Source organism: Homo sapiens, chromosome 7 (assembly GCF_000001405.40).
Source record: "Homo sapiens chromosome 7, GRCh38.p14 Primary Assembly".
Lineage (NCBI taxonomy): Eukaryota > Metazoa > Chordata > Mammalia > Primates > Hominidae > Homo > Homo sapiens.
This window is the reverse complement of record NC_000007.14, coordinates 130,417,723-130,443,818: the sequence shown is the minus strand read 5'-3', so window position 1 is coordinate 130,443,818 and position 26,096 is coordinate 130,417,723. Positions and strand designations below refer to the sequence as shown.

The window sequence follows — 26,096 nt, the reverse complement described above, 5'->3', positions numbered from 1 at the left end:
AATGATCATGCTCCTTTATATTCGCACTAACAATATGTGATCATGTTGTTTCATGAATCATTAGCCAGCACTAAGCATTATTGTTAAAGAAAAAAACTTTTGTACATTTGATAGTTGAAAAATGGGATCTAGTTATCTTGCTCTGTATTTTTTTTTTTTTTTTTTTGAAACGGAGTCTCGCTCTGTCGTCCAGGCTGGAGTGCAGTGGTGTGATCTCGGCTCACTGCAAGCTCCGCCTCCTGGGTTCACGCCATTCTCCTGCCTCAGCCTCCCGGATAACTGGGACTACAGGCACCCGCCACCGCGCCTCGTTAATTTTTTGTATTTTTAGTAGAGACGGGGTTTCACCGTGTTAGCCAGGATGATCTCAATCTCCTGACCTCGTGATCCGCCAGCCTCCCAAAGTGCTGGGATTACAGGGGTGAGCCACCGCGCCCGGTGCTCTGTGTTTTTTTGATATGTTTATTGGATGTTTTTCTTTTATCAGTTATCATTTTGTACCATTTGCCTATTTTTTACAAATAGAGACACGGTCTCACTGTGTTGCCCAGGCTGGTCTTGAATTTTTGGCCTGAAGTTATCCTCCTGCCTTGGTCTCTCAAAGTGCTGGAATTACAGGCGTGAGCCATTGCCACCACCATTTGCCTATTTTTTCAAAGTAAGCACTTGGCGTTCGTTTTGATCCAGTTTTGGCATAGCAGGATCCAAAAGGAATCCTAAAGAGAAATACATGATGTTAAAAGTCTTTTGGTTTATAGCTTTAAGCTTTCCAAGGATTCCATTGAGGCCAAATGTGAAGGAAAGGGGTGACTCTTTTAAAGGAGAGTCTCCTTGGACCACAACACCCCCCGCTCCCCACCCGCCGGCCAGAATCAGAATTGAGGGATTGGGGAGGGAACATGTATTTAAATTACCCCACCCAGACACACAGACACACAGTCAGTTGGATCCAAGAACCAGCCGGGTTCTATAATCTCTCTATAATGCTTCCTGTGCAGTCCAAATGTGACAACCACGATGACTAGTGAGGCAAGTAAACCAGATGTTCTCTGGAACAAAAGAGAGACAACCGTACAAAGAAGTGAGCCAAAACACTGAAGAATGGAAGTTGAATGGACTGTTGGACCTACTTGTACTTTCTGCTGTTTTGGCTTTTTGACTGTTGTTCTTTAACTTGATTAATGCATTATCGCCCATCTACTCAGTTCCTCAAGTTAGAGAAACTATAGCCATCTTTGATGAATTTCTATTCCTTGCACCCCTTACCTCTTCTCATGTATACTATTGATTTTACCTACACGTCTTTAAATCTCTCCTTTTCTGTCTTTCTCACCACCTCTGAGTGTAGTCCCCTATCATCTCCCTCTCTCCTTTCCCGTTATTCTATCCATAATCTCTATGGTTACCCACAAGGTGCACCAGGTAAGCATACATTCTAAATACTAATGAATCTAGAAGTTTCTGCTTGCTATGCAAAAGCTTCTAGATTAACATTCTTCCCTCTGCCTCCTTCCAATTTTTTGCAGCCTTCAAACCCTTCCTTAGCAGAGGAGTGAGAGACTGAGAATTTTAGAGGGGTTAAAGAACTGGCAAAGATTATGGAAATTAAGACAAAACTTAATAAACATGAAAGAGTGACATGAAAAGTCCAAGAAGCAGCTGTGGCCAGAATTCAAAATTCTGGTCAAGCAGCACTGACTGGCAACATGATCCAAGGTGTAGCCCTAAGGTTGGGTTGCTGAAGTGCCTAAGAGAACAAGGGCATGTGAGGCCATGTTGTTGAATGGGTCATCTCACAGACCCTGAAGTAGCTCAAATGTGTGCTATTATTCACTAACAGACAACTGGCGAGTATGAACTGCTCAGAGTAACCTTTCTCCATTCCTGGAAAAACAACTTAGAGCAAAGGACAAAGGGTTACTGTGTTGTTCCTTTCATGTAAAAGGAAATAATAATTTTGATGGATTTGGTGGGACATTTAGGAGCCAAGTCAAACTGTGTGTGTAATTGTTTTGTAAAGGTGCTAGGACTTCATTTTCAGATCCGGAATGGGAACAGGTGGTGGCTGGTGGCAGGAGTCACAATGGTTTCCATGACGACGGGATTGGGTCCTAGTCATCCTCCCATTCTCCACAAGACCTACTGCAGCTTTTCTCATAAGGTGCTTATTAAGTATTTGTTAAATGAACGATGAACCACAGAATAGCGCGTGTGCTTTGCAATTAAGGATGTCGCTCTATAGCTAGCCTAAAAGCTTTTAAAGCACCGATAATTACTGTATTTACCCATGTATTTTGCATAATTCGCATATTAACTTAACCAGAAAATAATAAACCATACTCTCCCATTTCTGCTGAACAACCCTGGCCCATATAATATTCCCTGTTGTGGAATCAGTAGCCCAGATGTTTGGTTGAAACGGCCATAAAACGGAGCTGGGGGATGGGGAGTCTTGTGTTGTATTTATGGTTCCACATTAGCTAAAACTCGTGTTTTGTCCCGGCTCTCAAGCCACTGCCCCCGCCCCCGGCTTTGCGCAGGCGCCAGCCTTCCCCTCCCCCCGCGCCTCTCTTCCCGCCCTAAGGCTGGAGCCGGCGAGCCCCAGCCCAGAGAACAAAAGGCCTCGCTAGCCGGCGTCCCGCGTTGCCCTTGGCAACCATTGAGCGGCGTCTTGCCCTTCTGCGACCCTGAGATGAGAGAGTAAACGGGGCCCCCATTGGCCGGCCGGGGAAGACGGGCCAATCGGAGAAGAGGGTATAGGGAGGCGGCTGAACAAGGTTGTGGGGGTAGGAAGCTAGGGTTAGAGGCAACCCGTGAGGCTAGAACCCCGAACGTGGTCGGTTGGAGAAAATATGTCCCTCCGGAGGCACATTGGGAACCCTGAGGTGAGGGCCAGGTCTCGGCCGGAGAGCCGGAGGGGGCGGGCGCACCGGAAAAGGCTCATGTGGGCAGGGAAGAGCAGCCAGCGACTTCCGCCGCCCGGAAGGCGGGAAGGGGCCGGCGTGAGGAGGGGTCGGGATGCAGGGGCGGGGCGGGCCGGGCTTGGGGGCCGCGGGGCAGCGTTCAGGACCCCGTTTTGAGGAGCGATCTCTCCCCGCGTACGCACGCCAGTACTTGTGACTGCGAGGAGCGAAGTACCCAAAGACACAGCCCTTGCCCTCAAATGGCTTACAGTCTCGGAGTGACAGTTACAAAACAGAAAAGACAAAGGAAGCGCTGCACACTAATGGCACGTGTTGAAAGCCAGCCAGCATCTCTGATTGTGGGGATACAGGAAGAGCAGGAGTAAGCTGACCAAACCTTTGGAAAACGGGCAAAATAGGACATTAGGCTTACCCCTCTCTCCATAGGACCCTTCAGTTTCTTCATCTGTTTCACCGCTAGTCCCCTGCTGCATTTGTGGCAGTTTCAACAAACGTTATTGGAAACTTCCACGGTGCAGTAGGTGCTAGACGTACAAAGAAGACAAGGCCTCTGCCCTTTAATAAATTGCGTATAGTGGACCAGGCGCGGTGGCTCAGCCTGTAATCCCAGCACTTTGGGAGGCCGAGGCGGGCGGATCACGAAGTCAGAAGTTTGAGACCAGCCTGGCCAACATGGCGAAACCCCGTCTCTACTAAAAATACAAAAATTAGCCGGGCGTGGTGGTGAGGCGCCTGTAATCCCAGCTACTCGGTAGGCTGAGGCAGGAGAATCGCTTGAACCCAGGAGATGGAGGTTCCAGTGAGCCGAGATCGTGCCATTGCACTCCAGCCTGGGTGATAAGAGCGACTCTGTCTCAAAAAAATAAAAATAAACAATAAATAAATTGCGTCTAGTGAAGGAGCCTGTGAACAGAATTTGAGTACAGTGTGGTCGGGGAGCAAGATGTTACGAGAAAATAGGTAGTACTCAACTGAGGGAGTGAGAGAAGGGTTGTGGAGATGGAAGGGGTGGCAAGGCCATTCATTAGCCAGGTGAAGCATCATCCCGGGTAGAACAGCCCAAGTGAAGGTAAGGAGTGTGTGAACTCAGAACAGGCCCCTGTAGGAGTCCAGGCTTTCTCTGCCTTGCTGAGGTTCTTAGCCTTTATCCCAAATAGGAGTTGTAACTGTTTCATCTCTTGGTGGCTGCCTGGTACTAGGCTGAGAAAGCTGTAAGGCTGAGTCTAAGCCCTGCAAGAGAGCCATGGTCAATTGGTAATGTCTAAATGCTGCATGATCTCACTTATACGTGGCATCTTAAAAAGTCCAGCTCATAGAAGTAGAGAATAAAATGGTGGTTACCAGAGCCTGGAGGGTGGGGGGAAGGAGGGCAGAAATGGGAAGATGTTGATCCAAGGGCACAAAGTTACAGTTAAACAGGAGGAATGGTTTTTGAGATCTCTGGCACAGCATGGTGACTATAGTTAATAATAATTACAGCAGACTCATAACCCCCAGTAGAAAATCCATGTACAACTTTTTACTCCCCTCCCCCCTGCAAAAAAACTTAACTACTAATAGCCTACTATTGACTGGAAGGCTTCCTGATAACAGAAACACTTGATTAACATATTTTGTATCTCATATGTATTATGTACTGAATTCTTAAAGTAAGCTGGAGGAAAGATTATTATTAAGAAAATCATAAGGAAGAGAAAATATATTTACTATTCATTAAGTGGCAGTGTATCATCATAAACATCTTCATCCTAATTGTCTTCATTGCTAAGGGGCAAGGAAAAGGAGGGGTTGGTCTTGCTGCCTTAGGGGTGACAGAGGCAGAAGAAAATCTGGGTATAAGTGGATCTGCACAGTTCAAGCCCATGTTGTCCAAAGTTCAACTATATTGTAGATTTCAAAATAGAGTAAATTGTATATTTTATGAGAGTAAATTTCAAATATCTCACCTCAAAAAAAAGATAAGTGGGTTGATGGATATGTTAATTTGATTTAATCATTCCACATTGTGTGTGTGTGTATATACCAAAACATCAAATTGTACCCCATAAATGTATAAAGTTATGATTTGTCTATCAAAATATTAATAAAAATGTTAATATTGTGTATCATGGGGGTGGGAGAGATAGGTGAGGAGAATGGCAGTTTGCCACATATTTATCTTGTCTGCTGGTCAGGATTTGAGAAATTTTTTGAGTTATTAAAGGAGTGACATGGTCAGATTTGCATTTTAGGCAGATGGCTGTAGCTACATTGTGGAAGATGGGTTTGAGGAGGCTCCAGGACTGGAAATGAGATTGGTTAAGTGGTTACTATTTTTTATTTATTTATTTATTTTTGAGACAGAGTCTCACTCTGTCACCCAGGCTGGAGTGCAGTGGGGAGATTTCAGCTCACTGCAACCTCCACCTCCCGGGCTCAAGCAATTATCCAGCCTCAGCTTCCTGGGTAGCTGAGACTATGGCGCACACCAACAAAGCCTGGCTGGTTTTTGTGGATTTTGTAAAGATGCGGTTTTACCATGTTGCCCAGTCTGGTCTCAAACTTTTGAGCTCAAAGCCACCCGCCTGCCTTGGCCTCCCAAAGTGCTGGTATTACAGGCATGAGCCACCGCGCCCTGCCAATAGTTACTATTTTGATAGAGATCTAAACTAAGGCCATTGAACTAGGGATGGAATCGAGGATAAATATTTACGGGGGCAAAATCATCAATACTTCCTGATTAGCTTTGAGAGATGCGTGATGGGTGACTTAAGTCTCAGCTTAGACTACTCATTGGTGCTGGCGCCATGAGTGAGATCAAGAATATGGGAGAACGAAAAGGAGGAATAGTTTTAGGAGTGTGGGGGAAGAGGAGCAAGTATGTTCCGTGTGGTTATGTTTGTGCCCGAGACAAAGATGCCCAGTTTACTCTCTTGTTTGAATAGAGCACAACTTCTAGTAGTTTCTTAAGAAAGAATTCATAAGAAATAGTTTTAAAAATTTATGTCTAAAATGTTAGGCATGTCTAAAAATATTCTTATTCTACCTTAACATTTATTTGCCAGTGAGTTTGGCTGAGTATAGAATTATTGGTTGAAAATCATCAACATCTTTTTTTTTCTTTTTCTTTTTTTTTTTTTTTTTTTTTTTTGAGACAGTCTTGCTTTGTCACCCAGGCTGGAGTGCAGTGGTACAAACATGGCTCACTATATCCTTGACCTCCTGGGCTCAAATGATTCTCCCACTTCCTGAGTAGCTGGGACCACAGGTGTGTGTCATCGTGCCCAGCTCATTTTTTTGTATTTTTTATAGAGATGGGGTCTCCCTATGTTGCCCAAGAGGGTCTTGAACTCCTGGGCTCAAGCAATCCTGCCTTGGGCTCCCAAAGTGCTAGGATTACAGGTGTGAGCCACCACACCTGGCCATCATCAGCATCTTGCAAAACATTGCTTAGTGGTCTAGTGTCTTGTGTTGTTGTGAAGTCCAAAGCCATTCTCTTGCTTTGTGACTGAATTTTCCTCTCAGGAAGCTTGTGGAACCTTTTTTTTTTGTCCCCAGTGTGACTTTACAAAGATATTTATATTTTCACTCATTTTGATAGGCACCAGAAATTTATGTCTTTTTAGTCTGAAAATTTTCTTAACTTTCTCTCTCCTATTTTCTCCATCCTCTTTTTCTTGAATTCATTATTCTGATGTTCTGTATTCATATAGATAACCTATATGACTGGTTCTCTGATTTTCGTAACTTTCATCTCCTGTTTCCCTCATCTTTGTCTTTCTGCTCCCTTTGGGAGATTTAATTTTTATCTTCCAATCCTTCATTTTAGTTTTTAATTTCTGCCATCATGTTTTTAATTTGTTTGTTTGTTTGTTTTGAGATAAACTCTCACTCTGTTGCCCAGGCTGGAGTGCAGTGGTGCGATTTCGGCTCACTACAACCTCCGCCTCCCAGGTTCAAGCGATTCTCCTGCCTCAGCTTCCCAAGTAGCTGGGATTACAGGCACCTGCCACCACGCCCAGCTAATTTTTTTGTATTTTTAGTAGAGACGGGGTTTTACCATGTTGGTCAGGCTGGTCTTGAACTCCTGACTTCAAGCCATCCACCTGCTGCCTTGGCCTTCCAAAGTGATGGGATTACAGGTGTGAGCCACTGTGCCCAGCCCATGTTTTTAATTTTTAAGAGCTCTGTTTTTTGCTCTGTTGTACTTTTAAAAAACGTTTTATTTCAAAATAAGTATAGATTCACAGGAAGTTGCAAAAAAAAAAAAAATAGTACAAAGAAGTCCTATGTATCCTTCACCCATTTTCCCCAATGATTATATTTTACATGAGTACAGTACAGTATCAAACTAGAAAATAGAAATTTGCACAATGTATGTATAGTTCTAGGCCATTTTATCACTTGTATAGATTTAATCAAGATTTACATATATGTAGATTTGCAATCAAGATAAAGAACTATTGCATCACTAGAAATATCTCCAAGCTACTCTTCTGGTCACACCTACTTTCTTCCCTCTCATCATCCTAACCCTGGGTAACCATCTCCATAATTTTGTCATTTTGACAATTTTACATAAATGGAATCATACAGTATGTGACCTTTTGAGATTGGCTTTTTTTTTTTTCACTCAAGATAATGTCCTTGAGTCGCATACAAGTTGTTGCATGTAGCAGTAGTTCATTCTTTCTGGTACCTGATCAGTATTCTGTGGTATGAATGTACAGCAGTTTTTTTGTTTTGTTTTGTTTTGTTTTTTGAGACGGAGTCTCACTCTATCACCCAGGCTGGAGTGCAGCGGCACCATCTCAGCTCACTGCAACCTCTGCTGCCTGGGTTCAAGTGATTCTCCTGCCTCAGCCTCCTGAGTAGCTGGGATTACAGCTTCCTACCACTGTGCCCGGCCAATTTTTTGTATTTTTAGTAGAGACAACATTTCACCATCTTGGCCAGGCTGGTCTTGAACTCCTGACCTAATGATCCACCAGCCTCGGCCTCCCAAAGTGCTGGGATTACAAGCGTGAGCTACTGTGCCTGGCCTGTACAGCAGTTTTTTAACCATTCAACTAGTATAGGACATTTTGGTTGTCATCAGTTTTGGGCTATTACAAATAAAGATGACATTTGGGTATAACTCTTTGTGTGGATGTTAATTTTCATTTATCTGGGATAAACGCCCAGGAGTACAATTGCTGGGTTGTATGGTAAACATATGTTTAGTTTTATTAGATACTGCCAAACTTTTCCAGAGAGGCTGTACCATTTTACATTCCTGCCAAGGGTGTATGAGAGATTCAGTTTTTGCATACTCTTGGCAACGTTCAACACTGTCAATATTTTTTATTTTAATGTTTATAATAGATGTGTAGTGCCATCTCATTGTGGTTTTAAGTTGCATTTCCTTAATGGATACCAAGCACATCTTTTCATGTGCTTATCTGTCATCCATATATCCTCTTCAGTAAAATATCTCTTTGTGTCTTTTGCCTATTTTCTATTTTTCTTAACTGTTGAGTTTTTGTTTCCTTTTGTGTTGTTGGTGATGACTGTAAATATTATTGCAAAACAAGGAAATGTAGGATTACATTTCCTTTCTTACTGCTTTTTGTTTTTTCCTGGAGTTTCTGTTTCCTTTATTTTTAATTCTATACTTTTAATGAATAATTCAGGACATTTTCTTATATCACTATGTACTATGTTTTCATAGTTATCTTTTCCAAACCTTCTCTGTACATTTGAACATGTGTGTGATTGGGGGATGGAGAGAAATATAAGAGTTTTATTTTGTAGTTTTGTTTTACATAAATGTTACAACATTGTATATATAGTTCTTTGACTTGATTTTTTTCACTTAACAATATATCCTGGAGATCTTTCCATGTCAGAAAAATATACCTCAGTGTAATGACTTCCTTTTAACTCTTACCTAAGTATTTGGTGTGGTTGTATCACAGTTTTGTTTATTTGTTTTTTTGTTTTGCTAGTTCTGTAAGACCTCAGTTGTACAAATGGACTGATATGATTTGATTATCTGTATACTTCAGTTATAGCCAATTTTGGTTCTTATTGCTTTTATTCCCACTCTTCTCCTTTGACTATAGACATCTGCTCCCATATATTTAATGTATATCTTTCTAATTCAGCAGCCATATTTTTCATATAAAACAGACATTATTTTGTGAGCTTAAAAATTTTACAAAAATAGTGTTATGCTATTTGTATACGATTTGCTTTTATCATGCAAATTATGCTTCAGATCCATCTATGTTGATAAATATGTCCAGTTTATTACTTTACCTATTGTATAGTAATCTAGCATGTGACTAGAGCACATTTTACCTATCAGTTTCCCCATGGTCATTTAGGTTGTTTTTGACTACCTGCAGTTACAAACACTGATGCAATGAATAGTTTTACTTTTGAGTTTTGAGAGCTCTTTATATATTTGAGATAGTAGTCCTTTGTCAGATATGTGCTTTGCAAATATTTCCTCCCAGTCTGTAGCTTATCTTTTCATCTTCTTCACAGGGTCTTTTGTAGAGCAAAAAGCAATTTTAAAAAAAATATATTTACTTTTTACATTTTTTTTCTGTAAGAGCTTTTTTGAGATGTAATTCACATAGCATATGTAATATTGGTTACAGTGGTTGTGGGGAATGAGATAATGTAGGTAAAATGCTTAGTGCCTGATGATATAGTAAGTACTCAATAAATGTTAGCAGCATTACCATGTTTCTTATTGTTGTTAAATCATCTCCGGCAAATAGAACAATTTGTTCTTTAAACTTGCTTTTAAAGTGGCTTTGCTATTAAAAATTTCTCCACTTGGAATACTTTTTCCATTCCTTCTTCCCATCTTTTTTATCCACAGAAGATCAACCCTTAAAACATAGCTCCAGTGTCCATTCTTCCATGAAGTCTTTCTTATCACCCCCAGTGGATGAACAATCTCCTTTGACATTCCTCCCTAGAGCCCTCCATGTCCGTGCTGCCCACGTGGCACCAGCATGCACACTACATGTTGCTCAGGTCTTCATTTGGCAGGTACTTGTTGCTCTCTCATTAGTAGAGGGTCTTGTAGTAGGTACAGAGATCTACAAGATAGAGCCCCTGTCCCAAGTGCAGGAGTAAGACGTGTGAATGGTACAAAGAACTGTGAATATTCAGTCAAGGAAGAGATTTCCATTTGACTAAGGCCTTCAGAGGAATCTTCCCAGAAGATAAGTTTGCCCTGAGTCTTGGAAGTCACGTAGAATTGAAATAGCTGGGCTGTGGTGGGTAGACAGGGAGGACATTTTCTTTTATGTAAACCCTCAAAGGGTCTTTGACATTTTTGGTTGTTTTCAAAGAGCCTGTAATGATACCACAAACAGGAACTTTCTCAACTTCCTGCCTCTTCCAGATGAACTTCATTCTGACCACCTACCTATCTTATATCTTTATCTTAAATAGATCCAAAATTGACCCTGCTGTCTGGGCTCTGGACCTCATCCTCTCCCACTCTCTCCATACCATTTTCAACCTCTCTTATCTTGCCCATTAGCCTGTATATACATCCTCAAATCTCTCCTTTTTTTTTTTTTCAAAACAAAATAACAGCAACAAAGATTATTCCTTAGCAACTCTCTTAAGGGAAAAAGAAAAGATCATCCAGCTACTGTCCTCTTTCCTCCTTCGCCTCTCATATACTTGATCTGCTGTTTTTTGCATCTGCCGCATCAGTTTCCCATAGCTGCTTCCACCAGGGCCGTCAACAATGTCCTGGTGTGCTAAATTCAAATTCACTTTTCTCTTGGTCTCTTACTTGAACAGCATTCTTGTTCACTTGTTCATACTTGACCTCTTGTTCTCTGACTTGACAGCATTGTTCACTGTTGGCCACTCCCTTCTTCCTGATTTAATTTTCATGACCCACTTTTGTATGGCCTCTTCTGAGTTTCATCCCAGGTGCCTCTCCTCCACCTGACCTTAAATGTTGGGGTTTTTCAGTCTGCACTCTCCTCAGCATGATTTTGTTCATTTCCATGGCTTCCTCTGCTGCCTGTAGGCTGACAACTCCCAAATCTTGTTTTTTTCTAGCCCAGGTCTCTCTCCTGATTTCTAGATGCAAGTAGCCAACTAGGTACTTCCATTTCGTTTTTTGGGTTTTTTTTTAGTGAGAGTGTCACTCTGTCACACAGGCTGGATTGCAATGGCAGGAACATTGCTCACTGCAGCCTTGACCTGGGCTCAAGGGATCTTCCCACCCCAGCCTCTCGAGCAGCTGGGACCACAGGCACATGCCACCATGCCCAGCTAATTTTTTTTTTTTTTTTTTTTTTTTTGTGGAAACAAAGTTTCCCTGTGTTGCCCAGGCTGGTCTTGAACTGCTGGGCTCAAGCGATCCTCCCACTTTGGCCTCCCAAATTAATGGGATTACGGGTGTGAGCCACTGTGCCCAGCCGATAGTTCCATTTTAGACAACCCACAGATATCTCATACTCAGCACACTCCAACTGACCATATTATGTTTTTAATATGTGCTTCCTCAACTCCCTTTTTTGGAGAATGGTATCACTGTCCTGTTACTACATGAGTCAATTTTAAATTATATTGATTTAACATTTTAAAGATTTCTTGAAACGGTCTCTTCCTCTTCATCTTTACTACCACTTCCTTACTTCCTTAAGACTACAGATCCTCTTAGCACGATAGCCTTTCAACTGATTTTCATGCCTCCTTTCTTGACTCATATTCTCCAATATTGCTGCCAGGGTCACCTTTCTAAGACAGAAATATAATCTTGTCACTCCTCCTTCAAACTTCTTCAGTGACCCCTCATCATCTTCACCAACCTAGGCACTATTGGCGTTTGGGCTGGCTAATTCTTTGTGGTGGGGCTGTCCTGTAATTGTAGGGTATTTAGCAGCACCCCTGGCCTCTACCCACTAAGATGCCAGTAGCACCTCCTACCACCCAGTTGGGACAACCAAAAATGCCTCTAGACATTGACAAATGTCTTGGGGGTACAAGGAGCAAAATGGTACCTGTTCGAGATCCACTGATCTACAGGATGAAACCCAAGTTTTTTTAAACATGTATGCAAGGCTTTTTGTGATCTGCCCCTGCTGCCTCTCCAGCATCGTTTGTCCCCGTATTTCCCGCTATGCTCCAGGCCGGCCAGTTACTGTTAGATTGCTGAAAACTGTTGGTACTCCCTCTAGTCTCCACTCTTTCTCCATGCTTTTCCCTTGCCAGAAACCCCGTAGCTCTCACCCACTACTCCTTTAGCTTGACTAACCTCCTCAACCCTCAGAATTCAGCTCAGAAGTGACCTTTCAAGAAACAGTTCTTGACTCTTTTAACCTGGATTAGGTGCCAATCTGATGTGCTTTTGTCACACCCCCTCCTTCCCTTTCCTTGTTCCTCATGCAGCCTGGCGTCTGTTTATCCACTTGTCTGTCTTCCCAGCAGTCAGTGAAAGCTGGATGGCAAAGACTGTGTTTCTCACCTCTCTGTCCTCAGCACAGAGGCTTGCCCCTAGTAGGCACTCAGTAAATGTCCACCAAATGAATGGTTGGTGCTCAATAAGTCTTTGTGGAATGAACAGTCTTCCTTGAAAACAGCTTCTTTTTTCAGCTTCTTCACTTTGCACCATTCCATCCTGTTTATGTAATTGAAAGAAAGCCAGTTGGTCAGTAGGTCAAAAAGCAGTCACCCCACAAAGCAAGAATTTTAAATAAAAAAAAAGTATGTCAGTCCCATAAAATCTATGGTGCTCGGCTTGCAGTGGAGCACAAATAGTTTTACATTGCGGTTGGTACTAGAAAGTCAGGAACAAGAAATTGGACTGCAATGGGAACACAGAAAAGAAACTACATTTTTTTCTCTTGCAGCATATGGATTTCTCATTAGTCTATGTAAGGAAAAACCGGGGGCGGGAAGGGCTCAGCCACTGCAGCTGTCCACACTCTCTCCCCTCATCATTCTGCTGCCACCACACCTGGTCCCCAGAGACACCCTCACTTCTTAGCTATTTTGGCTTAGGTATGGACAAATCCCCTTGGTTCAGCAGAGACTAGCCTGGAATTTTTAAAAGAAGCTTTGCTAGGAAACTAGTGGGAAAAACAAAACAAAAGTAAAAACAGGAAATAGAGTATAGAAACGATAAAAAAAATACAGAGTGCAGAAAAAAAATCCCTTAGCCCAAGATAACTGCAATGTAGTATTAGCGTTACTTGACTCAATTTACCAGGCACATACTTTCCCTGTTTTTTGTTTGTTTGTTTGTTTCATTTTGCCATGATATTGTCTGTCTCTGGAGAATTTATACTGAAGTCTGGCTTTTCAATCTTTGTATGTTTTCCTTCTTTTACTAAAGAATCTGCTCTGTCTTTCTCTAGGGAAGGAATTGAAATTGGCATTATAGTTACTTTCTCATAGACAAGTTACTGATCATTTGGAGAAACAAGCTTTCCAACCTTTTTCTAAGGATAAAATAGCTCAGTGGTTCCAAACACAATCTGAGGACCGATGCTAAGAGTTGGTGATAAAGATGTGATTTGCCTGGGGTGAAGTGAAAATCACAATGTCATGAATGGTTTTTAATGACACTGAAGGACTGACCCTTTCACTCTGGGATTTTTTTTTTCCCCTTAGATGTTAAAATAGCAGATAGTTGTTGTGAGGCTTTTGCTTTGGTTTTGTTTTTTATGTCCTTGGCAATATTAAAAGGTGCCTCTAGTTTTAAAAAATTCTCCCTGGTCCTGAAATCCAAAACTCTGGCCAACAGATATTTTGTAAGACACTAAAGTATCCCATATCGTTTGTATGCTTTGTGGGTCATTTAAACCCTTATTTTATACGTAAATGTTTATTCTGCAATCTTCCTGACAGAGTATGCTGTAGTTAACTGTTTTCAAAGGCAAAGGATGCAGTTTTTATAAGTCCGATGTTCTCTTCTGAGGAACCAGATAGTTGCTGTAATACAATCTTCATTTTCGGTATTCACTTATTGACTGAATATCAATAAGTGTACTTACCATGCACTAGGTCCTAGGCGAATACAACCAGAGTAAGTCATTGTCCCTGCCTTCAGGGAAATCCTAGACTAGGGAAGAAGATTGAGGTTTAAACAATGGAGCGGGCTGTGAGTACTCTGGGAGCCAGGGAGAAGAAAGTGCCTAGTTCTGTACTGGACAGCTTTACAGAGGACATACATTTTGCCCAAGGAGTAGTGAAGGAAAGGCATTCTAGGCAGACATCTGCAAAGACTGGCAACCTGAATGAGTGTGCTGCATTAAGGAGACATTCCCAGCAACTTCAACATGGGAACATGAGGAAGGGTGGCAGAAGATAAAGCCAGGAAGACATTGCAGTAATTTCATGTTCCACAGCTACCTGTTATTGAAGAAAGGACTTTCATACCTGCAGGCCAGAAAAAGGCCTGAGCAAAAAGTGCTATTTCATAATGTCTTTGTTCATTAGCTTCTCCTCACTTAATGGCTTTCACAATCGCCACTCTAATTTAATGTGGGTTAATGTCTTATGCTTGGATTCAAAGAGTTAACTACCAGACAGCAGCACAAAGGAGACCTGACATATGCATTTTTGCTGACCCTAAACTTGAACTGAGCCCCAGGTGAGCCTCAGCTGCCACGAGAGCAGATGCCATGGTCGACATCCCTGGAGCTACAGACTCTGGGGAGCAGCGGGAGCCTGCCCACCTGGGGCCTGGCCTGCCCACATCTGGAGCACTGTGCTTAGGGCTGGATCCCTGCAGGGGAGAGATGGATAAAATCTCAGGGGTGTCCAGAGGAAATGGCCTAGAAACCATCATAAAGAAAGTGAAATGGAAGAGGGTCAGGACAACTGCCTTTGGTCATCTTAACAGATTTCTTGAGGCAGAGGCAGATGACTTACAGTGGGTTGCAACAGTGGACTGAATGAAAATTGGAAAGACTGATTTGGGCTCAATGTAAGAAATTATTTATTTATTTATTTATTTATTTATTTATTTTTTTGAGACAGAGTCTCACTCTGTCACCCAGGCTGGAGTGCAGTGGCACGATCTCCGCTCACCGCAACCTCCGCCTCCTGGGGTCAAGTGATTCTTCTGCCTCAGCCTCCCAAGTAGCGAGAGTATAGGTGTGCATCACCATGCCCAGCTAATTTTTGTATTTTTAGTAGAGAAGGGGTTTCACCATGTTGGCCAGAATGGTCTCTATCTCCTGACCTTGTGATCCACCTGCCTCGGCCTCCCAAAGTGCTGGGATTACAGGTGTGAGCCACCGAGCCTGGCCAAAAAGTAATTTTTTAGGCAGCTTTTTTTTTTTTCTTATCAGGTAGTGTGCTGAGATGAGTTTGATGAAATATGGAAGTGTTCTGACAGAAACAAGATAAATATATTCAGCTATGGAAATGCTGTTGAAAAGAATCCTATATTGAAAAGACAATTGGACCTCTGGAGCTCATTCCATCTTTTTTTTTTTTTTTTTTTTTTTTTGAGTCAGAGTCTCTCTCTGTCACCCAGGCTGGAGTGCAGTGGCATAATCTCACCTCACCTCGCTGGAGCCTCTGCCTCCCGGGATCAAGCGATTCTCCTGCCTCGGCCTCCCGAGTAGCTGGGATTACAGGCGCCCATCACCATGCCTGGCTAATTTTTGTATTTTTAGTAGAGATGGGGTTTCACCATGTTGGTCAGGCTGACCTCGAACTCCTGACCTTAGGTGATCCACCCACCTCGGCCTCCTAAAGTGTTAGGATTACAGGCGTGAGCCACCATGCCCGGCACCATCTTTAATTTCTAAGAAATTTTAGCACTTTTTTTCCATTTTTAAAGTATCTGACTCCTGACTTTACCTTATCGTTATCCTTACATTAACCCAATTAATTGTGAATTTCCTTATTTTTTAGTATCTGATGAAAAGGATACCACAGAACCCAAGATACCAGCATATCAAATCAAGACTGGACACTGGTGAGTAAAGATTAGAAAATTAGAATTAAAAAAAATCTAATAGCTAATTATTGACAGAAAGCAACCCCACATATCTGGTATAAATCACAGCTAAAAGTTTCTCACTGTTTTGCCTGATGTCTTTCTCGGCTCAGGATTTATCCTTGAAAGATGTTTTTCAGATTATCAGTAAAAATTCATATTTACATAATTTAGCTTATTATTCCTTACCACATAAGAAATAATATAAACTGAGAAAATGAAATTCCAGAAATCAAAACCATTGTTCAGTAAGTTTCAGGGCTGAAGCTAAATAAATATCAGGAGGTCAGCCTCTATTTTGGAATACCTTAAGTATATTCCTTTAAACTGGCAGTAACGGATTAGACACATGCATATTTGTTCAATGCAGTGTTTGCAAAGTGCTGACCATATGGCAAGTTATGGACCATGAGAGATGTAAAGCTGAGTATGAATTGTGTTTTTTTTTTAGTTAAAGAGTTTAGATTCAAGCGGAGGCAGACAGACTTGAATGAGTAACTGAAATACCAGTCAGAATTTAATTAGTGCTGCAGTGCAGGTAAAATGAACTGCTTATTTCCACGCTGTTCCCATTTTTCAGTGTTGTGATAAAGACTGCTGCCCAGACCCTAGTGGATTTTCAGTCTTGTGAGGTTTTGGTTGTTTGTTTTTGTTTTTTTTCAACCTTTTAAAGCCTGCTGTGGAAAATTCACGTGATTAAAATGGTTTCGCTAGTGGATTGGGGTACTGTATGCCTTTAGCAATACCGAATTTCCCACTAGTAACCTCAAGACAATTGAGAAAAGTAAATGACGATGTTGACTTTGTTTAAATCATTTTGTTTATTTTGTTTCTCTTTCTCCAGTCTCCTTCAAAAAATCATTATCTTCCATTATGCATGTTTCTTCATATAAAATAGACTTAAATTCAGTGTTTTAAATTCACCTCATTTGCAGATGCTATTTCTTGGTACCCGTCATTCAGACATTTCCATGCCGTACAGATATTTATCCTTGCAAATATCCCACTTGATGGGCAGGTGAAAATATTATCTCTGTCTTAGAAGAGGAAATTGTGGCACGGGGATTTTGTGATTTATTCGGAGTTCAATAAAGGAGAGAGAACTAGGATTATATACAGGATGAGGAAGTCAATATTGGAGATCTGGTGCCAAGTCTGGTGTACTGTTTCTTAGGCCGTACTGTTCCTGTATTTCCCCCAAGCCTTGTTTCTTCTGCCACAAAAACCCTCAGCTCTTTCATCTCTACCCATCTAACCCCTAATTGCAACTGTGATCCACCCTTCTGAAGTAAGTGATTCTGTGAGGTAAGCACCTAGATTTAAAATGCTGTATTTTTTCTGAGGAGTCTAGATATTATTTTACAGACTACTATAAAGGAAGGAATTTCTTTTGGAATCTGTATACTTTCTTATAATTAAAACTTTAAGAGCTGAGGTTTATTTCAGATATATAGATTTGTCTATGCCTTCATAGTTTGTTTTTTTTTTTTTCTTTCCTCCTGGAAATTAAACTGGGATTTGTGAAGGACAGCTCCCTTCTTCCTCTTTAATTTCTCAATTCATAACCAAAATTTGACTCAATAATGGTGCCTAAGATTAATTTCATTTTTTTGATATTGAGATAAAAGTATATCTGCTTTTTACAATACATATTAAATACATATGTCCTTTTATATCCTGAGATTTTTAAACTGGCTTTTTTGTTAAACTTTTAATTTTAACATAATTGTAGATACATATATATTTTGTAGACAATAATGCAGAGAGATTCCATGTACGCTTTACCCAGTTTCCCATAGAGGTAACATTTTGCAAAACTATAATGCACTATCACAACTGTGATATTGACATTTGATACACACAGTCAAGATACAGAACGTTTCCATCACCACACGGATTCCTTATGTTGCCCTTTTATAACCACACCCACTTTCTACTCCCACCCCTTAGCCCCTGCGATCACCAGTCTGTTCTACATTGCTGTAATTTTGTCATTTCACAAATGCTGTATAAATGGAATCATACAGTATGCAACCTTTTGGATTGGCTTTTTCACTTAGCATAATTTTCTAGATATTCATCCAGGTTGTTGCATATATCAGTAATTTGTTCCATTTTATTAATGGCTGGTATTCCATGATATGAATGTACCAAGTTTAACCATTCACCTGTTGAAGGACATCGGGGTTGTTTCCACTTTTTGGCTATTAAAGTATAAGTGCTATAAACACTTATGCACATATTTTTGTTTGAACCTAAATCTTCATTTCTCTGGGATAAGTGCTCAGGAGTACAACTGCTGGTCACAATGTAGTTGCCCATGTAGTTTTTAAAGAAAATGCCAAACTGTTTTTTAAAGTGACTGTACCATTTTACATTCCCACCAGCAATGGATGAATGATTCATTTTCTCCACATCCTTGTCAGCATTTGGTGTTGTCACCAGCTTTTATTTTGGCCATTCTGATAGCTGTGTGGTGGCATATATCATTGCAGTTTTGTTTTGGTTTGTTTTGTTTTTTGAGACAGAGTCTTATCCCGTCACCCAGGCTGGAGTGCAGTGGCATGATCTTGGCTCGCTGCAACCTCTGCCTCCCAGGTTCAAGCGATTCTCCTGCCTTAGCCTTGCAAGTAGCTGGAATTACGGGTGCGCACCACCATGTCTGGCTAATTTTTGTATTTTTAGTAGAGATGGGTTTTGTCATGTTGGCTAGGCTTGTCTCAAACTCCTGCCTCAAGTGATCCACCCGCCTTGGCTGGGATTACAGGCATGAGCCACCGCACCCAGCCCATTGCAGTTTTAATTTGCATTTTCCTGTGGTAATAGTGAACATCTTTTCATGTGCTTGTTTGTTTTCTGTATACCTTCTTTGGTGAAATACCTGTTCATATCTTTTGCCTATGTTCTAATTCGTTTGTTTGCTTTTTTACTGTTGAATTTTGAGAGCTCCTTATACATTCTAGCTACTGATCCTTTGTCAGATATATGGTTTGCAAATATTTTTTCCTAGTTCATAACTTGTCTTTTCATCCTCTTAACAGGGTCTTTGGAAGAACAAAAGTTTTTAATTTTGATGAGGTCCATTTTATCAGCTTTTCCTTTTATGGATCATTATTTTGTTGTCTAGTCTAAAAAGTCTTTGCCTGGCCTCGATCCCAATGATTTTTTTTTCTACCATGATTTTTTTTCTAAAAGTTTTATATATAAGTTCATGATAAACTTTGAGGTAATTTTTGTATAAGAGATGTGACTCACATCAAGACTAAGTTTTTGCTTACGGATATTCAATTGGTCTGGTGCCATTTGTTAAAAAGGTTACCTTTTCTCTATTTAATTACGTGTTCACCCTTGTCAAAAATCAGTTGGGCATATTTACGTGGGTCTATTTCTGGGTTCTCTATTCTGATCCCATGATCCATGTGTCTGCCTTCTGCCAATATCCTAATATTGATTACTATAGCTGTATAGTAAATTGGATACTTAAAATTGGTTAAACTGACTATGCCCACTTTCTTTTTCTTTTTTTTTTTTTTTGAGACAGGGTCTTACTCTGTAGTCCAGGCTGGAGTGCAGTGCTGTGATCTTGGCTCACTGTAACCTCCACTTCCTGGGCTCAAGCAGTTCTCCCACCTCAGCCTCCCAAGTAGCTGGGATCACAGGCGGGCGCCACCATGCCCGGCTAATATTTTTGTATTTTTTGGTAGAGACAAGGTTCTACCATGTTGGCCAGGCTGGTCATGAACGTCTGACCTCAAGTGATCCACCTGCCTCGGCCTCCCAAAGTGCTGAAATTACAGGCATGAGCTACAGTGCCCAGCCTTTCTTTTTCTTTATACAGTTATTTTAGCTATTTTAATTCCCTTGCCTTTCCATATGAATTTTAGAATAATCATATTTACATTTACTTTTTAAATGCTGTGATTTTGATAGGAGTTGCATTAAGCCTGTTTGTCAACATGGGGAGAATTGACATATTTACTATGTTGAGTAACCACTAATCTACTTTCTCTATCTATGGATTTGGCTATTCTGAACATTTCGTGTAGATGCAATCATACAGTATGTAGCCTTTTATGTCTGGCTTCTTTCACTTAGTGAAATGTTTTCAAGATTCATGTATGCTGTAGTATGTGTCGGTTCTTCATTCCTTTTTATTGCCAAATAATCTTCTGTTGTATAGCTATTCCACATTTTGTTTACCCACTCATCAGTTGATGGACATTCGGGTTGTTTACACTTACTGGACATAGTGCTGCTAAGAACATCAGTGTACAAATTTATGTGTGAACATGTGTTTTTAATTCTCTTGGGCATATACCTAGGACTTGAATTGCTTTTCATATGGTAACTGTATGTCTAATTTTTTGAGGAACTGCCAAACTGTTTTCCACAGCAGCCACACCACTTCACATTCCCAGCAGCAATGTAGGAGGGCTCTATTTTCTCCACATCATCACCAATGCTTGTTATTGTTCATCGTTTTGATTACCATCTTTGTGGGCATGAAGTGGTATATTATTATGGCTTTGATTTTCATGTTCCTAATGACTGATAATGTTTGAGCACCTTTTTATGTGCTTTTTGGTATTTGTATATCTCTTATGGAGAAATGTCTATTCAAATCATTTGCCCATATTTATGTTGGGTTATTTTTCTTCTTATTTGTTGAGTTATAAAAGTTCTTTTGGCTGGGCGCAGTGGCTCACACCTGTAATCCCAGCACTTTGGGAGGCCGAGGCAGGTGGATTGCCTTAGCTCAGGAGTTCAAGACTAGCCTGGGCAATACGGTGAAACCCTGTCTCCACTAAAATACAAAAAAATTAGCCAGGCATGGCAGCGTGCACCTGTAGTCCCAGCTACTTGGGAATCCGAGGCAGGAGAATCGCTTGAACCCAGGAGGCGGGGGCTGCAGTGAGCCAAGAAGGCGCTACTGCACTCCAGCCTCGGTGACAGAGCGAGACTCCGTCTCCAAAAAATAAAAATAAAAAAAGAGTTGTTTTATATATTCTGGATACTAGAGTCTTGTCAGAAATATGATTTGCAAATATTTTCTCCCATTCTGTGGGTTATCGAGGGTTTTCTTTTTCTTAGCTGGAGGAGTAGCTAAGTACATCTACCCCATCTTTCTGGAAGCAGAAGTCTCCCAAACTAGTCTTGTAAAGCTTTTGGAAGGGCCAAAGTGTGTTTCATTGCTTAAAACTCACAGTATTTTAAAGTCAGTGTGGGAGAGAAATCTTATTCTAGTGTTCGATTTTTTTTGTTGTTTCAAATTTAGAAATTATTCTAAAGTCAGTTTAGGGGAGAGATTTTTATTTTAATGCTTATATTTCTGTGCATTTTTGTGACTTACCTCCCTGTGTATTCAGAAAAAGTTTTCTACCTGGTGTGCAGCAGCCTATGCATTATGTGCCAGGGTACAGATCCCTGCAGCCCTTTAGCCAACAGGGCCTGGATCAACCCAAACCCAGCATTGTATCCACATTTTATCATTGTATGTGTATCATGAGGTGAAAAGGGTGAGGAGTTAAGAAAACAGAAAAGGGACCTTATAGCCCAAGTAAGAGTACAGAGTTTCTACCTGTGGTTTGTTTTTAAGCTCTGCAGTCAGAGCATTGGAAATAGGCACAGGAATGAGTGAGCATTTCTCATTTTTAGGCTAAATAGATGGGTCTTTCATCTTTTCTTACCAAACAGCAAGCAATTCAGAGTAATCACAAGAAATCAAGAATTTCGTGATATCTCCTGTCTTCACCCAAATCACATTCTACTGAGTTCTTCAAAGACTGCTATCTTCCTCCTGGTTAAAGATTATTTTTTGTTTTTATACCTCTGGCTCTGCTTCTCATATGAACTCAAACACTGAGTGCAGCCATGGCTAGAAATCTCAGAATTATTTTGAACTTCAAATATTTCTTTTGTTCCATAGGTGCCTGTGTGTATCTTACCAGCTCCCCAGCACTGCCAGACTGTGCCATGAATGGATTATGCTTCTGATGAAATCCCTGGCTGCGTTTTGTTCAGTCACCACCGCAGGGTTCTTGTATATTCTCAAGCACCCTCTCTGGGTTTCTGTTTTGCAGCACTGCAGGCTGATTAAGGGACACTTTCCAAACCACAGGGCTCTCCCTTTATTAGTCCCCACAGTCTTTCATTGGCTGCATTGTCCTCCCATTTCTATCTATATTCAATCTAATTTCCAATTTCTTTAGCTTTCTGAAATTCTGTAGGCTTTCTCCACTCAGTCTTTTCTAGCCTTATTTTTGTCTTTTTAAAAATTCACCTTCCTTTTATTATCTCTAGACAAACTATTCATTCCCTCTTTTCTTCTTTAGGCTTTACTTTTCCTGAATATTTGCTAATAGCCTTGACTGTAAGCATCAAACTCATTATAGACTAGGTACTCTTCATTTTTATTTGTTGTTTAATTCTGTTTCTTCCGTCAAAGGAAGAAATATATGTGAAAGGCTTTTATAAACCAGAAAGCACTATACACACATATCACTTATTGAGGTTAACAAAGGACCACTGTGCCTCTTTTCATGCTTTCTGCTCTTCCAAGCCAAGAGAACTTCTCCATAGAGGAGGGAAATATTGAAGAAAAATAAAGCCATGGAGTTGTCTCTTAGCAACTGAGTTCGTGCCTTATAAATCTCATCTACTTTAGATTACTGCTGCACAAAATCACTTGCTTTTCTTATTGGCTCAGTATAAATAATGTTATTAAATTATAGGAAAACAATGGAAAAAATCTAATGAATGACTCATTCACTGAATCAGTTGCACTCTGTGTTTGCACAGCACTGTTGCTATAGTCGGGTTGTTTCTTCCTCTTGATTCTAATTGTAAAGTTTTGTTATATATCTTTTATCACAACTTTAGTTGTAAGTAAACAAAGTAGAAGCTAAATGCTACCTTATACATTTATAGGTTGCTTAAGTCGTGAAGCAATATGAGTCATATATGTAGCACATAACATATACTGTATATAAGTCAAGTTGTACATAGTTTAAAGAAAATCAGGTGTGCAGAAACTCAGACCAAATTGGGAAGTATTTGCATTATAAAATAACTCATTATAAGGATTTTTCAGTTAGTAGATCTCCATAGTAAATTTCATTCAGCAAATGTGTATTTTTCCTATTTATTTATTTATTTATTTATTGAGATGAAGTCTCGCTCTGTTGCCCAAGCTGGAGTGCAGTGGCGTGATCTTGGCTCACTGCAACCTCTGCCTCCCAGGTTCAAGCGATTCTTCTGCCTCAGCCTCCTGAGTAGCTGGGACTACAGGTGCGCACCACCATGCCTGGCTAATTTTTATATTTTTAGTAGAGACGGGGTTTTACTATGTTGGTCAGGCTGGTCTCGAACTCCTGACCTTGTGATCCTCCCGCCTCGGCCTCCCAAAGTGCTGGGATTACAGGCGTGAGCCACTGTGCCAGGTCTAGTTATTTATTTATTTATTGTAGAGATGGGCTCTCACTGTGTTGGCCAGGGTGGTCTTGAACTCCTGGCCTCGAGCAATCCTTCCACCTCAGTCTCCCAAAGTGCTGGGATTACAGGTGTGAGCTATCACACCTGGCCATTTTTTTTTTTTTTTTTTTTTTTGAGATAGAGTCTCACTCTGTCACCCGCATTGTAGTGCAGTGGCGCATTCTTGCTCACTGCAACCTCCCCTTCCTGGGCTCAGGGGATCCTCCTACCTCAGCCTCTCAAGTAGCTGGGACTACAGGGATGTGCCACCATGCCTGGCTAGTTTTTGTGTATGTGTGTGTTTTGTAGAGACGAGGTCTCACTATTTTGCCCAGGCTGGTCCGGAACTCCTGGGCTCAAGCAATCCTGCCTCCTCAGCCTCCCAACGTGCTGGGATTGCAGGCATGATCCAGTGCACCTGACCATCATTCAGCAAGTATTTTTGAGTGTCTCCTATGCTAGACAATGGAAGGGATAAAGATTATTCATACGTGTGTGTGTGTGTGTGTGTGTACGTGCCCATAAATAGTCCTTGGCTTTCTGTCTAGTAAGGTAGGTAAGACAATACAGTGATAAATGCCTTGTGAGTTGTAAGCCGAGTGCTATAGAGGCTCAGAGGAGGGAAAGGTCACTTCCTGCTGAGTGAGCTCTTACGAGTATGTGGCAAGGTGATACGTTAGAGAATGCAAGACTAAGAGTTTGTCAAGTTAAGTAATTAAGGCAACATTAAGAGGTAGTGAGTTGGTGTCCAGTGCTAGAGCAAGGAGTTTCAGCTTTAGTTAGGAAGCAATGGGGAGCCACTGACTTTTTTTTTTCTTTTTGATCAAAAAGTCTTATCTGGGAAAATGTATCTGGCAGTAATGTGTAATTTCAATTTTTTTTAAAAAAAATTGGTTCTTGGATAGTCTTTTAGGCTTCTTTTGTATGAAACAAAGCCATGTTTATAAATAAGTGAATTATGAAATGGATTCATTTCCAATCTTTTTAAAAGGTAGTCAGAAACTATCTTCAGATGCAATTAGATACAGTAAGATAGGCTGCATAGTTAAGATGTAAGCAGTTTACACAGTGGGATAAAAATGCTACTTTTCATACTTTCTCAAACCATTTTTAGGGGTATTTTTGTGTCAGCCATCCTGCTATCTCATTTGTCCAATTAAAGCAAGGAAGAAATCCTCCATTCTCCTTTTTTCCCCATTCTTGGATAGAATGAATGTCTATAGTGAAAAGAACTCATCAGTAGTCCTCTCAGATTTGGTCTGAATTTCACCAAATATTTGTATAATTGCAAAAAACTTGTTTCTCAGCCTTCTCCTTTAGGGGGAAAACAAATAGAGGGCATGATGGCCTACCTCCCTGCATTGTGGTGAGGGTCAGCTGATACAAAATAAAGTGTTAAGTGTAATTACCCTGAAATGTTTGTAATTAATGGAGAAATGAAGTGTAGACACTTTGTTAGTAGAAACCACTGTGGTTTGGAAATGCAGTGTTTCAATAATAAAGACTGGATAAATAAGGTTGTGGTTTGGAAATGCAGTGTTTCAATAATAAAGACTGGATAAATAAGGTTGTGGTTTGGAAATGCAGTGTTTCAATAATAAAGACTGGATAAATAAGGTTGGCTAGTGTTTTCCATTCTTCAGGGAATTTACAACACAAGATGATCCCCACCTCTCACTATTAAGGAAGTAGCATTTCCTACAAATTTACCTCATGATTAATTGTGTTTTTTTACAACAACACAACAAAAAAAGATGTGTTTTTCAGGAGGTTGGAAATGCGAATCCTGGCTTAGTTACTAACTTGCCATGCCACCAGACAAATCAGGTGTTCCTTTTTGTCCCTCATTTTCTGACTAGATTGCCTAAAGCTTCCCTAGCCGAAAGAAACTACCTGCCACGTCAATAACATGCAACTGTGGGTGACTCAGGGACATATAACCTAAAGCTACTGGGTAAAATATTTTAAGAATGAGACTTGGGAAGCTGAACAGCATACTGATTTGCCGTCTTCTTCCGCCATTGTATTGACCAGGCAAGTCCACGCCTGAGTTCAGAGTTGCAGTGGGCAGGAGAGATGTGTGTCCAGGAAGAAATTGTGGCTTCTGCTCTGAAGATCTGGTCACATCTCGGGTCAATTGCAGTTTGAAGAACCTAGGAAAGACTGTATTTGGTTCTAATCTTGGTGATATTTGGGCCTCTTCTAAGAGGTATTCAGTGTCTCTCTTGAGAAGGCTTAGGCCTTCCTGGCAGCCCTGACTGCCTTCATTTCTCTTGGAACTTCCAGGTCCAGGCCTGCTCTGAATCCTCCTTTCTGGTCCTGGATACAGAGAGTGTATGTCTTAACACCAAAAAAAAGAAAAGAAAAGAAAAGAAAACAATGGTGGATTTTTATTCCATGATGAATTCATGGTAAAGATTTAATAATAGCCAATGAAATAAGTTGTTTTTTTGAAAATGTATTTTGGGTTTCAGAGCAAGGATTTTCTTTTTCTGCTTCTGACCCAAACATGAAGAAAAGTTCAGAATAGTCCTTGAAAATGTCAGTTCATGCTACTATTAATTGAAAGCATTTCTTTTATCTGATGTTGGGGCTGCATCTGACTAGATCCTCTCCAGGCTTAAAAAGTTAGGAGCACAGTTTTAGAAATGAGAAATTATTTTGAATGTTTTCCTTTTGCCATACCTTTTAGGTGACAGAAAGAGCTTCCTGCGTTGAATTGAATCAAATCGAAGCATACC

General features: G+C 40.7%; 1 protein-coding gene and 1 long non-coding RNA gene across 13 annotated transcripts in view, besides 1 other annotated feature; one reads left to right on the top strand and one right to left on the bottom strand.

The window, feature by feature from the left end:
- On the bottom strand, positions 593–2,065 carry LOC105375505 (uncharacterized). Of its 3 annotated transcripts, none has more exons than XR_927971.3 (3): positions 1,131–2,065; positions 920–1,049; positions 593–716 (listed from the first exon to the last, which is right to left on the bottom strand). It is a non-coding gene; the product is annotated as an uncharacterized LOC105375505 (long non-coding RNA). The 3 variants fall into 3 exon arrangements; XR_927973.3 differs by having other exon boundaries at positions 930–1,049; XR_927972.3 differs by having other exon boundaries at positions 1,295–2,065.
- CEP41 (centrosomal protein 41) overlaps positions 2,078–26,096 on the top strand; it is a 47,971-nt gene continuing 23,952 nt past the window's right edge. For 4 of the 10 annotated variants that reach the window (NR_046443.2, NM_001257159.2, NM_001257158.2 and 1 more), the window contains exons 1-2: positions 2,803–2,885; positions 15,801–15,864. Coding sequence is in view for 7 of the 10 variants with exons in the window: in NM_001257159.2 (NP_001244088.1) it covers positions 2,853–2,885; positions 15,801–15,864 (97 nt within the window). In the remaining 3 variants the exon portion in view is untranslated. Of the gene's footprint in view, positions 2,162–2,802; positions 2,886–2,967; positions 3,286–15,800; positions 15,865–17,059; positions 17,191–21,811; positions 24,786–26,096 lie in introns of those variants that run through there. The other 6 variants (XM_047421055.1, XM_047421053.1, XM_011516709.4 and 3 more) reach the window with 5 other exon arrangements.
- Positions 2,363–3,117: an enhancer, noted in NCBI's record as "H3K27ac hESC enhancer chr7:130080543-130081297 (GRCh37/hg19 assembly coordinates)". NCBI's record gives its function as "activates a minimal SCP1, AML or CMV promoter by ChIP-STARR-seq in naive H9 embryonic stem cells {active_cell/tissue: H9 hESC(naive)}" and the evidence as "EXISTENCE:reporter gene assay evidence [ECO:0000049][PMID:30033119]".